Source organism: Homo sapiens, chromosome 9, assembly GCF_000001405.40.
Source record: "Homo sapiens chromosome 9, GRCh38.p14 Primary Assembly".
NCBI classification, from domain to species: domain Eukaryota; kingdom Metazoa; phylum Chordata; class Mammalia; order Primates; family Hominidae; genus Homo; species Homo sapiens.
Window position 1 is genome coordinate 127,259,744 of NC_000009.12, and position 17,593 is coordinate 127,277,336.

Here is a 17,593-nt window from a genome sequence, read left to right on the forward strand (position 1 = left end):
TAATAAGAGCTGGCTGGATGTGGTGGCTCATACCTGTAATCCCAGCACTTTGGAAACTGAGGTGGGAGGATCACTTGAGGCCAGAGTTCGAGACCAGCCATGGACACATTGTGAGACCCCCCCGCCCATCTCTACAAAAAAAAATTTTTTTAAATTAACCAGGCATGTAGTCCCATCTACTCAAGGGGCTAAGGTAGGAGGATCGCTTAAACCCAGGAGTTCAAGCCTGCAGTGAGCTATGATTACACCACTGCACTCTAGCGTGGGCAACAGACATTGTGCTTAGAACCTTGTCTGCTTTTTCTTGTTTATTCTTTATAACCCTGCTAAGTAGATGATATTTTCAATTGCATTGTACAGATGAAGGAACTAATTCCCAGAGAGGCTGAGAACCCATATCTGTGACTGAAGTGCGTGCTCTGAGGGACTACATTGCATCTCCTCCCATGGATAGAAACCTGGATTAAGTTAGCCTTGTCCTTCCTTATAAAGAGTGCTACAGAATGGTTAACAGGTTTCCCAGGATTCCTGAGTCATCTGGAAAAGGAATATGTTTCAAAGCATTGTTTGTGGACCGCCTGCATCAGAATTCCCCTGGCTGTTGGTTAAAATCACAGATTAACTGACTTACAACCTCTCGGAATAGGGCCAGGGAATCTGCATTTTTGCAAAGCTCAGACTCTAAAGTCTGAGGAACATGTCCTCTGACATGGTGTCAGAATTTTCTTCACTGACACACTAATCAGTTTCTGGGTAGGCCTAAAACCAACAGTAGGGATTTGGGAGACTATACTACAGGGATTGACAAACTTTTTCTTTAAAGGGTCAGTTCGTAAATAGTTTGGGCTTTGTGGGCCATATGGGTCTCTGTTGGAGCAATTCAACTCTGCTGTTGTAATCCAAAAGCAGCCATAGACAGTTCATAACCACTGGGCATGGCTATGCTCCAATAAAACTTTGCTTTCAAAAACAAGCGCTGGGCTGAATTGGGCTGTAGTTTGCCAACCCCTGATCTAGAGTCATCCTGGCCCACCAGCCCTCTGACAACCCCTGTTTGTGGAACTTATTCTTACACTACTTTCTATTACCTATGGAGAGCTGTATCAACTAAGATAAAATTGCCTGATGTAACAGATAAACCCTGAATCCTAGTGACTTAAGGCAATAAAAGTTATTGCTCACTCATATCAGAGCCCAGTGAGGCTACTCCTGGTTAGAATCTTCTATGTGGGCCGGGTGCAGTGGCTCACGCCCGTAATTCCAGCACTTTGGGAGGTTGAGGCAGGCAGATCACCTGAGGTCAGGAGTTCGAGACCAGCCTGGCCAACATGGTGAAACCCCATCTCTACTAAAAATACAAAAATTAGCTGGGCATGGTGGCGGGCACCTGTAATCCCAGCTACTTGGGAGGCTGAGGCATGAGAATTGCTTGAACCCAGGAGGTGGAGGTTGCAGTGAGCTGAGACTGTGCCATTGCACTCCAGCCTGGGCAACAAGAGCGAAACTCTGTCTCAAAAAAAAGAATCTTCTATGTGGTCATTTAAGACCCAGGCCCCTTCATATTGTGGCTGTATCCCTCTTGGGCCCCAGAGTCCTCTCCATTGCAGCTGGCAGATAAGGAAAGAGACCAAGGATTATTCATGGGAAGGTGTTTTTTTTGTTGGTTTTTTTTTTTTTTTTTTTTGAGATAGAGTTTTGCTCTTGTTGCCCAGGCTGGAGTGCAATGGCACAATCTCAGCTTACCGCAACCTCTGCCTCCCAGGTTCAAGTGATTCTCCTGCCTCAACCTCCCAAGTAGGTGGGATTACAGGCATGCACCACCATGCCTGGCTAATTTTGTATTTTTTTTAGTAGAGACAGGGTTTCTCCATGTTGGTCATGCTGGTCTCGAACTCCCGACCTCAGGTGATCCGCCCCCTTCGGCCTCCCAAAGTGCTGGGATTACAGGCGTGAGCCACCGCGCCCGGCCTTCATGGGAAGTTTTTAAGGGCTGGGTCTGGTAGAGGTGCCCCTCATTTCTACCCATATTTCTTTGGCCAGAGCTGTTATTGTTCGGGATCCAGAAACTGATTTCTCAAGTCCATGAGGCCCTTGGTCTCTAGATTCATTCTGTTTTTGTCTGTCTTTGCTTGAAACGCCTCCAATTCTTTCCTGGGATTGTCTCTTCATTGTGAAGAACCTCGCTAAGTTCAGCCAAGAGGAGACAGTGCTCAACTTCACTCTGATTGTTTCTAGCCACTTTCCCTAGATCTGCAGGCTTGCTGAGTACATGGTCCACCTTCTGAATGACTGCAGGTGTAAGTTTTACCAAATATTTTGCTACCATCTAATATAGATTTCTATCTTTCCAGCCTCTGAGATCCATTTCCTCACTGGCTGCTGCCTGCCTACTACTTTAGGGTGTTGCTATTGCGGCACCCCACTGCAAGATACCTACTTCTGTATTAGTTCAGGTAAAACAGCAGCTTTAACTGGTAGACTCAAATTCTACCTGATTAACACAACTAAATGTTTACATTTTGCTCACATCATATTCTAGTACAGATGTTTTTTGTGGTGTAGCCTTCCATACAGATGTTCTTCATGGTGTGGCCTTCCATGTGGTCAATCAGAGACCCATGTTTTTCCATCTTGAAGCTCTGCCCTCCTGCAGGTCTCTACAGCCTCTCTGTCCAGCTGGCCAAAGGCTAGAAGATCAGGCACATTTCAGAGGATGTGCTGGAAGTGATGCATATCCATCACTTTGGCCTATATTGTCTTGGCCAGAGCTCAGTCTCATGGCCACACATCCTGCAAGAGGGGCTAGGAAAGGTAGTCCAAGTCCAAGACAAAAGGAGAACAGGTTTTGGCATGCACATAGCAGTGGCTGCCTTATAGGCCAGGACTCTGGACTGAGGGAATAATGGCCAGCAGAGAATTATAATGGCTCATTAGTGGGGGTGGCAGTGGGCAGCCTGCCCTGGTAGAAGAGGTGCTGTCAGGCATTAGCTAGTATGATTCAAAAGATATACAAATACCTTCATTAATGCAGTAAGCATTTACTGCATGTCCACTATGTGCCAGGCAGTAGGCCAGACACTGGGGCCTTGGGAGGAGAACAAAGCTCCCCTTGGAGCTCTGGGTGAGCCATTCTACTCCTAACCCTTGTGCTGGAGGCCTAGAGGCCAGAGAGCCTGGGAAAGGAAGAGGGAAGTGGCTAGGTCTTTTTAACTTGGCTGGTTTGAATGCCTCCTACAACCCAAGAAATGCAGCCCATATAGGTCAGCCTGGTTCCCACTATTAGCAAGCATCCCTCTGCGGTATATTGAATGAAATGTAATATGGGGGAAGAGAAGGCAACACATAGTGGACATTCTCTTTATAGCTTGCTCCCTGGTTGTTTTCATAGGACGTTGTTTTCCTTCTGTGAGGCATCTAAGGAAGGTGGTGGGTCTAGGATATAGGGTTATGTGTTTGTGTCTGGCTGCTGGTAAAGTTAGGGAATTGGCACCGTGTCTCAGAACCCCCTCAGCAGAGCTGATGGCAGCACAGGGAGGACCCAGTGCTCTACATCCTTGCTTTTTTCGTATTATTGGCTATTCATGTTAGAAGCTGTTGCTGTTGTTAATTTCCTAGTGGGCCTGGCTGAAATTGAAGCGGCGGGTTGAGCTCTGGGCAGACACAGCATTTAGTCAACAGCCATTGGGCATCCGCTCTCTGCCCGATCTCTGTCCAAGTCCACCGGCACTCCTCTCACTGGAGCGGCCAGTGATGCGGGCTTGGTAACTGATATGTAGGGGAATGGCAGTAGCCTCCAGGAAGGTCTTCAAAATGAGCTAAGAAAATAGGCGTAGAGGACATATTTAATACAGATTGGAATAGACCATGGAGGGAAGGTTTTTATTCTTTTTTGGAGATTTTTGGGTAGAAAATCATATCACTAGAAGCAAGAATGTAGCCTGGGTAATATCTGGAACACTTTCAAACTGCATGCATTGATGTGTTGCCCATTTTCAGCTAAGAGAGGGAGGACTACAAAAGGTTAAATTTCTCATATAAGATTAATTCAGCCATCTCTGTGAAATGGTGGAAGCAGAATGCCATTAGACTCTCTAATCTCATTTCTCTCATGCTGTCTTTCTTGGAGCCTGTCAAACAGTGTCCTGGCAGAGAGTCAGTTCTCTGGTTGCTAAACATCAGAGTCAGTCTCTTTCTGCATGTGCCAAGAGGGCTGTAATTTAGAAAATGCAACCTACCTTTTAAGGAAGGATGAAAAGGTACTAAATGCACCTTTCTTTGCATGTTAGATCCCAAATGTTTTGAATATAGTAAACATGTTATTCCTATATAATTTTATTTTCTATGTTATCGTAGAGTTATTTGCATGACATATTAGAATCAAACTTATTAAAACTGTTTATATTTTGTGGATCTCATGTGGTTTCATGAGTATTGCTTGAGTGCTAAATATACTAACTAATAAGATTTGTGCCTTTTGAGTGTGCAACTGTGCATTCAGGATGAAAACGTAGTAACAATTTTGCCCTTGTTTTAATTACTCTTCAACAACATGTGATTTTTGAAATCTGATTTAAGCCTTTTTGGGGGGTGGGTAGCTGCTGCTATGTAAAAAGCTGAATATACTTGGACATTAGATTTTCTGTTAGTTCTGGTCTTTTTTCATATTGCCACATAAAAATCCTAAATTAAAGGGGGACAGAGGGTGGAGCCTACCACGATTGTGAAGTTTCTTTCTCTTACTTAAAATATAGCATTAAATAATGCTGGTTATTTTTATGTTGCATATTTGGGACAAAGAGCTCTCTTAAATGAAAGATAATTGCAAGATCCGGTTCAGCAGCTTTGTCCCTTGCCTCAAGTTTACTGCAGGGCTTCTCTCCTCTCTGGTTATACAGAAATGAAATTATAAACCACCAGTAACCTTGGAAATTTCAATCGATTCCAAATGACTAAATATTTAATTGAATCATTGCCTATACTTCCAGGGATGACTCTGGCGTTTGCTTTTTATTGAGGGCTCCATGAAAGCCAGGCTCTGCAATGGCTGCTGGGGACTGTGTCTGTTGCAAGGAGGCTCCCCTGCAGTGAGGAGCCGGGGCACTGCAAGTCTGTTCCATAGCAGCCCTTTTTGCAAATGGTAGTTGATTTTTGCAGAAGGTTTGTGGCCAGATCGCTATGTATAATACTGATGAAGCATTTTTGTTCCAGCTCTGTCTCGGAAGACCTAGGCTGTAGACGTGGGGATTTCAGTAGGAAACATTATGGATCTGTGGAGCTGGTAAGTTTATGCTGTCTGTTCAGTGGTAGTACATTGATTTAGATTTAGAGACGATTGCCAAGCTCATCAGATCTTTTGTTGTATATTTACTGTTAGACCATGTGGGTACAGTGTAAGGATTGGATTGGAATAAATAACTATACAAAGGCTATGATAATTTGATCTTCTTTATCTATTTGTTTTTATTGTTACATACTTTTTAATCTTGTCTTCCAGTTTGTTAAAAATATGTTACGGCTTGGTATTTTTCTCTGTGTATATAATTAAATAAAACAATTTATGAATTAAGAAAGGTGGCATTTGGCTTATATATGACCTTTTTCCTAAAAGTTTATAAATCTAGTTTTCAAGGTTTAAATATTATTGAAATACGTATTCTGATTTTCTGTATGTTTGCTTTCTGGGTGTGTAGTAGGAGTTAGAATATTTATGAGAGCTGTTTTTCCCATTAAAAGCATATTGGTTGGACTAGATAAATGACTATTATGGATGATCAATATTTGGAATGAAAATATTTACATTTTCCTTAATGAGAGGTGTTAGTGTTTGTGCTATGATTTTTAAAATTTGTGTGTTTTCATTTTAAAAGAGCCATAATGAAAGCATATAATAGTCTCAATATTTTTTAAAGATAGAATGTGATTTTTTCCAATTACGTGAAAATCTGAACAAATTTTCAGAAATGTGCTCATAAAATTATATTGATTATTATTTAACACTGTTAATGACATTGCCTACTATTTCTATTTATTAAAAATGAGTTGCTTGTATCTATTTGTGTAGCACCCAATTTTCCCCTATTAATATAAGCTGCATCCTTGCAGAGTTTAAGTAGTAGAAAAATTTATAGCGGAGTTGTGTACCAGTGGCGTTCTACTTGAACTCAAGCATATGTTATGGACCTGACTGTGTACCTAGCCTGGAGCTGGGTATTCTTGAAAATATAAAATGAGTAAAAGATACAGTCCTTGTTCTTAAGGAGCTTACTGTCCTCTGGCTGGGCAGATAAGACACATAAAATATCTGAAGAATGAATTTAGCCACATAAAAGATACCTCAGTTGATTCAGTCAACACCTGTTCTGTCTGTCACTGGTGACACCACACCACTTAGACCACCACCTCCCCTGAAGGAGCAGGTGCATAGCTATAAGTCAGAGTAGGAATTGGTACTGTGAAAGAGATGCATGTAGAGCACCACGGGGGTTCAGAGAAGGAAGGGATCACCCATTCTGGCCAGGGGTCTCAGAGACACACCATGGAAGACCTTGCAGAGAGCTGTGGGATGTGGATTGGTGGCAGAGAGGATAGACAGTAGGTATGAGCTAACAGTATGATTCCTGGCAATGCCGTGTCCCAAGGCAATGAGCAAATGGTCCTGCCTAGCAAAGAGCTTTGTAATTACAAAGCAAGCAAGCTTTGGAATCAGGTAGGCCTGGGTTCCCATACCAGGTCTATTACTTATCTTTGTGACCAGTCAGGTTACTTCTCTGAACCTCAGTAATGCTGAAGAACATGTGATCTGAAGTCATTCTTGTTTCATCATTCACTAATTGTATGATCTTGGACTTCCTTTAGCATCAGTTTTCTCATCTATAAAATGGGGATATTTCTGTTATCTACCTTAGAGGGTTGTTATGAGGATTAAATGAGATCATGTACATAAAGTACTTAGCACATAAGCACAGTTTATGTTAACCAGCTGCAGTCATAAAGACAAAATTCAGTAGCAAAAGTAGAGCCTTGACTGTCAGGTGAACACTTTGGACTTGGCCTAGCAAGTAATATGGAGCGCTTTTAAACAGTGACAACATTACTTGGGGGAGATAACATGGGTGTGAAAGATGGACTCTTTAAAGATGTGGGGAAATCACAGAATATCAGAATGGAAAAGTACTTGAGAGCAGTGGTTCTCAAACTTGAGCAGACATCAGAACTCTCTGGAAGGCTGATTAAAACATAGATTGCTGGGCCCTAGTCCCAGAGTTTCAAATTCAGTAGATCCAAGGTTAACCTACAATTTGCAATTCTAACAAGTTCCCAGATTGATATTGATATTGCTGGTCCCAGGATCATACTTTAAGAAGCTCTGCCTTAGAGGACCTCAGCTAGGTCATCAGTTATCCTTGGCCTGATGAGGCATCCAGTTGACCAAACGTTCTTCAATCCATTTGTTCACATTTTTCCTCTGGGGCCATGACTGTGTGTATGTGTATTTGTAGTTGACTTTTTAGAATATTATAAAATACATTTTAAATATATTTAAAAATTCCACGTATAATCTTACCTTGCAGCAACTGTTTTCATCTCCTTGTGGTACCTTCCAGTCCTTATAGCTACAAACCTCATTTTTATATTGTTATAATGAAATTATGTATTTAATTTAATTTCGCATTCTTCTTTTTCCATTTATACTGTATTTTCTAAATGTCTTCTTATATAGTCTTCAGAGTCATATTTTAATGGGTACATGATAGGCCAACATAGTGATAAATGATTATCTGTGTAAATTTTGTAAAATTAGGTTGTTTCTCATTTTCCCGTATTAAAAATGACATGTGTGCTGGTGGTCAGGAAGGTTGGGAAAAGTGAAATGAGCAGAGCTCCGTTCTTATTATCTGAGGATCTCTTGAAATTCTGACTGCAGTGTTTTAAGAGGAGCGTGATGTTTCCTCTCACTTCTGAACAACAGAGTATTATTAAATTACAAACCATTATGTGTTGCAGGGACTTATGAAAAAGTGAGTTTGACTTTTCTTATGCCTGCTGTGATGAAAATTGTTGGGAACCCAATAAGTGTTGGGCATCTTGGAACTCAAACTTTCCAGAAAGGCGTCTAAGATTATATAAAATTGAAATTTTAGCATGAACTTCTCCTGACCTTGAACAAGTCACAAGTCTTGTGAAGAATGAAGCTCGGCCATTCATATCAGTAATGAGAGAAGACTTAGGGCTTAGTTCTCTAGGTTTCCATCCTGCATTAGTTTGGTGATGAGAAGATGGAAACCCAGATCTTGACAGACTCATGGGAGAACTACTTAGCATTCTTTCAACACATATTTATTGAGGGTCATCCATGTGTCAGGCTCTGTGCAAGTGACTGAGAGTCAGGGGAGAGAAGCAAAACCATTTTTCTGCTCTCATGGAGCCTTCACTTTAGAAACTAGCAGCCTCACACCGTGTCCCCAGGCTGTGTTGTATCTGGATCTCAGCTGTTTCCCTGCCTTAACCAGGGATTGTTTTCTTATGAAGAACAGAGATCTGTTCTGTCTAGGTCAAGTATAAAGCAATTCACTGAAAGGATATGGGTGAATCTCACGGGAGGGAAGTGCAGCTGCGCCTCATGTGATGGAAAACCAGCAAGCCACTATTTTCTCTTTCTCTCTGGTCCATATGCTTTCTTGTCTTCACATTTCTCTGTGTCTGTATCACTCTCCTCTCTGCAGAACAGCTTCTGATGGCACAGTTGCCTCTCTCCAGCTCATTTTTCCCAGCAGCCAGAGTGGTGTTTTCTTTTTTAGTTTATTTTTTATTGTGGTAAAACAGACAGAACATAAACTTTGCCATTTTAACTATTTTTAAGTGTACAGTTCAAGGAGCATTAAATACATTCATATTGGTGTACAACCATCACTGCTATACACTTTCAGAATGTTTTCCGTCATCCCAAAATGAAACTCTTTATCAATTAAACACTGGATTCCTATTTGGCAGTTCCTCAAAAAGCTAAAAACAGAGCTTCCCAGCCCCAGGTAACCTCTATTCTACTTTCTGTCTCTATGAATTTGCCTATTCTAGATACCTCCTATAAGTGAAATCATACAATATTTGTCCTTTTGTATCTGGTTTTATTTCTCTTAGCATGTTTTCAGGGTTCATCCATGTGATAGTGTATATCAGAATTTCATTCCTTTTTATGGCTGAATAATATTCCGTTGTATTGATACACCACATTTTGTTTATCCATTTATCTGTTTTGTTTGTTTGTCTGTTTGTGAGGCAGGATCTCACCTTGTCACCCAGGCTGGGGTGCAGTGGCACAGTCATGGCTCACTGCAGCCTTGACCTCCTGGGCTCAAGTAATCCTCCTACCTCAGCCTCCCAAGTAGCTGGTATTACAGATGCATGCCACCACACCGGGCTAATTTTTTTGACTTTTAGTAGAGACAAGGTCTCTCTATGTTGTCCAGGCTGGTCTCGAAATCTTGGGCTCAAGCAGTCCTCCTGCCTTGACCTCCCAAAGTGCTGGGATTACAGGCATGAGCCACCGCACCCAGCGTGTTTATTGATTCATCTGTTGATGAACACTTGCGTTGTTTCTACATTTTAGCTATTAAAATTAATGCTGCTATGAACACTGGTGTACAGATACCTGTTGGAGTCCTGCTTTTGATTGTTTGGAGTTTATTAACTAGGAGTGGAATTGCCGGATCATAAGGTGATTCTGTTTTTAGCTTTTTGAGAAACTGCCAAACTTGTTTCCACCATGGCTATACTGTTTTACATTTCCACCAGCAATGCACAAAGTTTCTATTTCTCCACAATCTTGACAACACCTGTTATTTTCCATTTTTAAAATAATAGTCATTGTAATAGTATGAAGTGGTATCTCATTGTGGCTTTGATTTGCATTTCCCTAGTGATTAGTGATGTTGAGCATCTTTTCATGTGCTTATTGGCCATTTGTGTATCTTCTTTGGAGTAATGACTATTCGAATTCTTTGTTCATTCTTGAATTGGGTTTTTGTTTTGTTTTGTTTTTTGTGTTTTTTTTTTTTTTTGCTGTCAAGTTGTAGGAGTTCTTTTTATATTCTGGTTATTTGTCCCTTATCAGATGATTTCCAAATATTTTCTTCCATTCTGTGGCTTATTTACTCTGTTGACAGTGCCTTTAATGCACAGAAGTTTTTAATTTTGATGAAGTAAAATTTATCTATTATTTATTTTGTTGTCTATGCTTTTGGTGTCATATCCAAGAAATTATTGCTAAATTCAATGTCCAGAAGATTCTCTTGTATGTTTTCTTCTAAGGCTTTTATGGTTTTAGCTGTCTTTGAGCCATTTTGAGTTCATTTTTTCTATATGGTGTGAGGTAAGAGTCCAGCTGCATTCTCTTGCTTGTGGACATCCAGTTTTCCCAGCACCAGTGGTTGAAAAGACTGTCCTTTCCCTATTGAATGGCCTGGTACCCTTGTCAGAAATCAATTGACTATAGATGTGAGGGTTAGTTTCTGGGCTTCCCTTCTGTCTCATTGGTCCATATGTCTGTCCTTATGACAGAATGATGTTTTAAAATGTTGTCAATACAATGTCTTTTCCTTCTTAAAATGTTTCTTCAGCTGTTCATTGTACTTCAAGGCCAGACCATGTACCAAGCCCTACAAGAACCTATGTGATCCTTACCCTGTCTTTCTCTTTCACCTTCTTTCATGCCGCTTCCTCACTGTGGCTCAAATGTCTGGCCTTTATCCTGGTCTCTGGAACACACTGAGCTCTTCCCTGTCCCAGGACCCCTGCGCTTACTAGTCATTCTTACTGATGGATTCTTGGGGCTTCTCACGGCTGATCTCAGCTTAAATACCATCTTCTCAGAGGGGCCTCCCCTGACCATCCCATCAACATTAGTTCCTTCCTCTGCTATTCTGTAACTCAACATCCTATTTGTTTTCTTAGCAGTGCTTATCACAATCTATATTCATTTCATTTACCACTTACTTACTACTCTGTATTGTTCATTGTTTTATTTCTAGAACATGGCACAGGGCCTGGCACATACTAAGTTTCTTATAAATGTTTTTTTATTACTGAATTGATTTCTGGCCCCCCAGTCCCCATGGTTTACATGGGTTACAGCTCTGTTGGCCACCGTGGTCTCTTCATTCTTGGATCCTAATTTCAAATTCCAAATAGAATACTATGGATTGTTTCCTCTTTGTTCAGGTATCTATCCCTGATTCAAACACTTGTGCTCAGGGTAGTGGGGTCATAGACTATAAACCTGGCTTTTGAGGCCCATCCCCTCAGCAATGCTTGTGGACAGGGCAGATTTTCTCTGGAGATGATATAGACAAGTCAGTTTCAAAGAAGGGCATGAGCTGAGCTGGAACTCCCAAATGTGTCCATTAACATTCCTTCATATAGCGAGAATTTAAAAGCTCAAACTAAAAGCACTTAGTGAAAATGTCTTCCTCTGCTGATGGACTCCCTTATCTCTGTACTTTTTTAAATACCATAAATAAAGATATAGATTATGAACTCCCTAAAAATAGGAATAATGTTTATTTGCCACTGTATCTCTAGAACCAAGCACAATGCTTAGCATTAGTTACTTAGTAACTATTGATTGAATGAATGAATGATCCCATTTGGTTGAAATTAGAGAGTGGCCTAACCCATCAAAAATAAATAAAGGAAAGAGAAAACAAGCCTCTTTGATTCCCCCCTCAACCAATATACTTAGGCTCATTAGCTGGCAGTGCATTTCATCAAAAGCATATGCCATTTTTCTTCTTGATGAATTGCAAGTCTTGTCTCTCATGGCAGCATTCTAGGCAAGACACAGCTATCACACCATCAACCATTCTTCATCACTTTGTGTTGAAATCTGTCAGAAAAAGCACAAGATTGTTTGTAGCTTTTATTGATCTTTTTTTGGCCTTTAAACTGGATGGCTAGGAAATTGATACAGTATCAGTGATAAATGGTATGGGCACAATATAGACCTCTCCCCTCCCCAGCCCAGCTGCTGACTCTCATAAAACCCCGTATCTTGATACTTCTGGGTAAGTAATGATCTACTGGTGATTTCAAGTCAGGATAAAACAAGGTAGTATATTGTCCATTCCTTTTTAAGCTTGTTTCTTAATGACTCAAACCTGCATTTAGATGAGCCACGTGCATGCTCCCCTGCTATATAGGAAATAAATATATCAGTGCTTCTCTATACAGATAGCATGATTTCGTTGTCATGAACTCAGGGTAGCCTCAAAGGGTATCTGGCTGTACCGTCTAATAACTATCAAAAGAACGGTTGATGATGAACTTGCTTGGCATCTGCAGATTTTAGCATTTGAGGTTTTGACTGTTTGAGGACTCTTGAAGTCTTGATATGTAGTAATTTGTATTTTTGTTCAGGCACAGATTGGATTTATACCTGTGGGACTGTTGTGAAGAAAGATGATGCTTTGCTAATGAGTGATTTAACTGCCTGTCCAGCACCCCTAACACAACTCAGTTTTGTGCTCTACTCAGGGTTAAGTAGGGTTTTTACTTTCAAAGGCACTTTATGGGAGAAATTATATTCTATCTAGTATTACCAAACTGAGAGATTAGTGAGGGTACCAGCATATTTCCCTCAGGAACATCAAAACATCAAGACTTCAGCGTTGTACAGCTAAAATCATAATTTTGACAGATGTTCTTTAAAATTTATCTGGCTTATATCTGTGTCTCACATAGCAGGCCAACTCTTTTTTTTTTTTGAGGAGGAGGAGTCTCACTCTGTTCCCCAGGCTGGTGGCTCGATCTCGGCTCACTGCAACCTCTGCCTCCCAGGTTCAAGCGATTCTCCTGCCTCAGCCTCCTGAGTAGCTGGGACTACAGGTGCACACCATCACGCCCAGCTAATTTTTGTATTTTTAGTAGAGACAGGTTTCACCATGTTGGCCAGGATGGTCTTGATCTCCTGACCTCGTGATCCACCTGCCTCAGCCTCCCAGTCAACTCTTGTGGATACCTCCAGGTACAAAGTATATCAGAACATTCACCAACAAGTTAACATGTTTTGAAACTATGGATGGTGCTTTTTTGATATTTTTACTGCCTCTGTTGGTGATTGATAGTGCTCACTTTTAAGCTTTTTCAGGCCAAAATTATTGTAACCATTTTCTGTGATGTAGAATTTTGAGACTTTAATAATTACTTTTTATACATTAGAATGGAATCAGAAATCTTTTATTATGGTTATTATTTTATTATTTTTATTATTAGTTTTAACATTTTATTGAATGCTTACCACGTACCAGTCTCTGTTGAATACTGTAGATGTATTTACTTATTTAATCCCCACAAAAAACCATATGAGGTAGGCATTATTTGATTAGGCCACACACTGTAGATGCTCAGAAGACATTTGTGAATATTAAATGGATTCCCATTTAACTGATGATACCAGAGCGGTCCCACAGCTAGGAAGAAGCAGGAGTGACATTTAAACCCAGGTCTATCTGCCTCCGAGAGCCCCTGCGCTTAATCTCTTCGCCTGCAAGCCCATGCTCTTAAAGCCCTGCTGTGTATAGAGTGTTTCCTGAGAAAATTAGGTTGATTGTTAGAACAAATACCGCTGTCCTTAATCAAAAGCATAAAGTAGCTCTGCTTTAGGTTTCCATTCCAACATATAATTTCAAACTATTTTTCGTCCAAATCTTAACAAAAGCTTGCTATTAAGAATGTCCATAAGGAGTTATCCAAAGACATGCCCATGCCTTAAATGGTTTAAATTTAATTCCTAGATCAAGCCCAACCATAAGTTAGCTACAAACACTTGGCCTGCCTTTGTTGGCCCCTCTCAGACTTGCTTTTCTTGACTTGTACCATGGCATTATGCCTTTAACCTGCATTGATGGACAGAGTGGAAAGCAGCCAGATAGATCTTGGTGGTGTGTTGCTTGTAGGATGCTGCTAAGAATTTTATGTTCGTCATATACAGAGTCTCATTTAAAAAGACCTATGAGAAAAAATTTTTCTCAGGACCAAAAAGTGCCATGCTTCTCCTGAGAAGCTGGTTTGTTGTTAACCTTATAAGCAGTGGGAATCCTGTAAATGAAAGGGCTTTTCCTCTTTGCATTGGCTCCTAGGAAGCTCCGAACTCCATTTGTGGCTTATCTCTAACAGTCTTAAAGGACTTTATAACATGCATCCTCATCTTATTCTCTTGTTTTCAGTTTATTTACCTACACTTGATTTTTCCTTGTTCTGAGTGTGCTCAGTATCTCATTTTATCCTTTAAGTAAGATATATTTAAGTAAGCTGCTTTTAAATCCTTTCTAAAAAATAAGATAGAGCATAAATATAAAAGTATTTCTGTATCTAGCCGTTAACAGCATAATCCTTCTGTCCTCCATTGACAGGTAGAATAACTTTGATGCTTGTCTCCTCCCTACCCTACTTTTTGATACAGTATGATTTTATGACCTATTTTTCTAGGATCAACAAAACTTGGGGAGAATTAACACCACCTGACCAGCCATTTGGTGACCATCTTGAGCTCCGAGTGCTGTGTTAATGACATGCATAGGCGGGTCACAAACTGTAACAAATCCACCAGCTGAACACATGCTGTAATAAGAATACCAGACAACTTCTCCAAATTTTCCCAGACAAAATCAACCTTGGGAACCTTGATACCAGACATCAGCATGCTCTCTAGTTTCAAAACCAGAGTTACAGGCACCCCACTCCCTCCTTTCTGAGTCCTGGCTTCCTCATGCTCTCCCTAGAGGCCACAGGAGTCTCCCATTCCTGTGACACTCAAGGCTCTCCTCCTCAGGGCAAGCCTCTCTGCGCCTCTGTGCTGCTCTCTTGCAGCCACCTTGGCTTGGCTCACAATCTCAGGCTCCTCAACCTTATGCTGGTATCCTGGGAGTCTCTGTTGTTTGACTCCAGTAGTCTTCAACTGATGGGATATGGTCCCCTGATGTATATAAAAACACTTCCAAATTTTGATCAATGTATAATAGTTTATTTTTCATATAACCAGAAATACAAACTGAACACGCCACTTACCTGGTTAACTCTTCAGCAAAGGAAATTGAGTACAGCAGTTTTCTACCTTGATTGTGGTTTCATACACTCAGGAGGCAAAATGCACATAAGTCTCTAAACACACAGACTTTCTTGGTGTCTGTTTGGTAACAGCCGTTGCCTTTCACACCTTACTTGTACCAGATCATTCTCTGCCCTGCATCATGGCTTGTCGTGTGCCCGCCTCAACTTTCAGATAAGCAAGACCAGGCTCAGCAGTGTGCATCATCTGTTGTAGCAGGAATAAATTTTAAACTTGATTAAAATATATAATGTAATATACCTTTATGTACTGCTCTTAGCAATAGAATATATTTTGTTTTCTCAAAGTTGCTTTTTTCAGTACCTATGTTTTCTTCTGAACTCATGCAGGCCTTCCCTCAAAACTGTGGTATTCACATGCCATGAACATGCATAGAGTTTGAAAACCACTCTTTTACCTCTTTGGGGCTGTTAAAGATGAAGAGGAATTTGGTGTTTTTGCCAATCTTTCCCCACATGGGCTGTGGACTTTAAGAGCTCTTTTTTTAGGCCCTCAGAGGAAAGTCTAGCCTATTTTAACTTATTAACTGCCCCTTGGCAGGCAACTTAGAACAAGTTTCCCTGGGGTTCAGGATCCAAGAGAATTTGAGGCTTCATCAAAGTCTCTCTTGGTGCCTTAAGATGAAACCCTTGTCTTTCAGCTTTCTCCTGTCTCAGGGCAAGTTTCTGTTTTCGTAGGGCACATATCCATTCCATGGGTTAGAAGAGCTTTTGGCCCTGTTTGTTAAGGAGGGGAACATCTGTGGGTTCTGAAATTTGCTTCCCTTTTATATCACTAATCAAATTTAGGGAGTCATGCAAAAAAATCCAGTGTAGCTTGCCGTGATTGGCTTACCATAAATGGCTGGCTCATGGTGTCACACTGCCACTGTTAGTTGAGCTATAAGTAATATTTTTATATTGAACTATTTTACACATGTAATTAAAGCAGTTACTTTGGGTTCTTTTATGTGCAAGAAAAGGATTGTATGCTTTTTGGCCTCAACTTTTTAATTGGTCTATTGCAGTTATCGTTGTGTTGCAGTCTTTTAAAATATAATCTCAAACTGTGCGTGCATAATAGATGTGAAGGCTCTTTGATTACTTTGGGAGTACATTTCAGCTATTCTCTAAGTTCTCTTTTTGCTCCTTGTAATGGTTCCACAGTTTCCCTTCTTACTTTCTCCTTTTGATGCTTCCCTTCCTTGTACTCCACTGAAACTGCTCTTGCCAAGGTCACCAAAGATTTCCTTGCTACCAAATCCAGTTGGCATTCCTCAACTCTGCCTTTTTTTTTTTTTAACATTTTGAATTGATTGATTGATTGTATAGATGGGGTCTCATTATGTTATCCAGGCTGATCTCGGACTCCTGGTCTCAAGTTATCCTCCCACCTTAGCCTCCCAAGGCAAGGCTGGGATTACAGGTCAGTCTTCATGTTACATGACAACTCTGTAGCCCTGTTAAAATTTTCTCCTCTCTTGACATCTCCATACTATCAGCTTTTCCTCTTGCCTCCCTGCTTCACCTTCTCAGCATTTTTTTTTTTTTGATTCCTTCTTGTCTGGCTGGCCCTTAAATTTTGGTGCTCTTCTAGATTCTGCCTCCAGCATTGTTCTTACTATATATGCTCTTTCTGGGTAATCTTTCCCTGTCTTAAAATTGGTGACTCCCAGATCCATATATTGAGTCCAGATTTCTATCCACAGATTTCTGTGCATGGGCGCATTTGCCTAAATGCCCACTGGCAGTCTCTCCTGGGATGACCCATAGGCAACTAAACTGCAATATGCCCCAAGCTGAACTCACCCTGTCTCTCTTGTGCCAAACCACTGAGTGAATGACACCATCTTCCTTTCAGTTGCTAATTCCAGAAACCAAGAAATCACACATAGCCATGTCCCAGTCTCTTACCAAATCCCATTGGTTCTATTATATATTCTCAATGGATTTCATGGCCAGTTGCTCTTTATTCATATCACTGTGTACAGCCAGTGTCAGACAGCCTTTTGAGTGCTTTGTATGTGTAAACTACTTTTCACAATGACCTAATGAGGTGGGAGTACTGTTATCATCCCCATCTTACAGATGAGTTAACTGAGATTCAGAGAGGTAAATTAACTTGTCCAAGGTCACACAACTGGTAAGTTGTAGGGGGTGTCCCCCAACTCCCATCCACAATAGGTTATATTTACTTGAAAGATCCATGATCTTGCTGCTGTTACAGGCTGCTCCAGTGCCCCTCAAACTTGATTATGCATAAAAATCACTTGAGCAGTTTGTTTAAAACCCGTGTTCTGATTTGGCATATCTGGAGTGGGCTGAGTAGTGTGCATTTTTTACAAGCTTACATTTTGAAAGTGACTTTTAATTCCTTATGTGTTTCTTATTTAGACTCTTGAAGAAATACAAGTAAGAAAAGAACAGGATGTTTGCTTCTATGTAGTCCTTCTTTTGTGTGACATTGGTATCATTTCCTCTTTCCTTGAGCTTC

At 40.7% G+C, this 17,593-nt stretch overlaps 1 protein-coding gene across 17 annotated transcripts in view, besides 1 other annotated feature; it reads left to right on the forward strand.

Moving 5' to 3' along the window:
* Nucleotides 1–17,593, forward strand: part of GARNL3 (GTPase activating Rap/RanGAP domain like 3) — a 169,048-nt gene that overhangs the window by 35,131 nt on the left and 116,324 nt on the right. For 9 of the 17 annotated variants that reach the window (XM_047423963.1, XM_011519086.4, XM_005252268.3 and 6 more), the window contains one exon: nucleotides 5,209–5,278. The exons of 3 other annotated variants lie outside the window; for them this stretch is intronic. In XM_047423963.1, coding sequence (XP_047279919.1) covers nucleotides 5,209–5,278 — 70 coding nt within the window. Of the gene's footprint in view, nucleotides 1–4,155; nucleotides 4,257–4,835; nucleotides 5,279–17,593 lie in introns of those variants that run through there. 5 more of the 17 variants (NM_001286779.2, XM_047423968.1, NR_104591.2 and 2 more) reach the window with 3 other exon arrangements.
* Nucleotides 8,551–8,670: an enhancer, noted in NCBI's record as "active region_29037". NCBI's record gives its function as "activates an Ori minimal core promoter by ATAC-STARR-seq in GM12878 lymphoblastoid cells {active_cell/tissue: GM12878}" and the evidence as "EXISTENCE:reporter gene assay evidence [ECO:0000049][PMID:35858748]".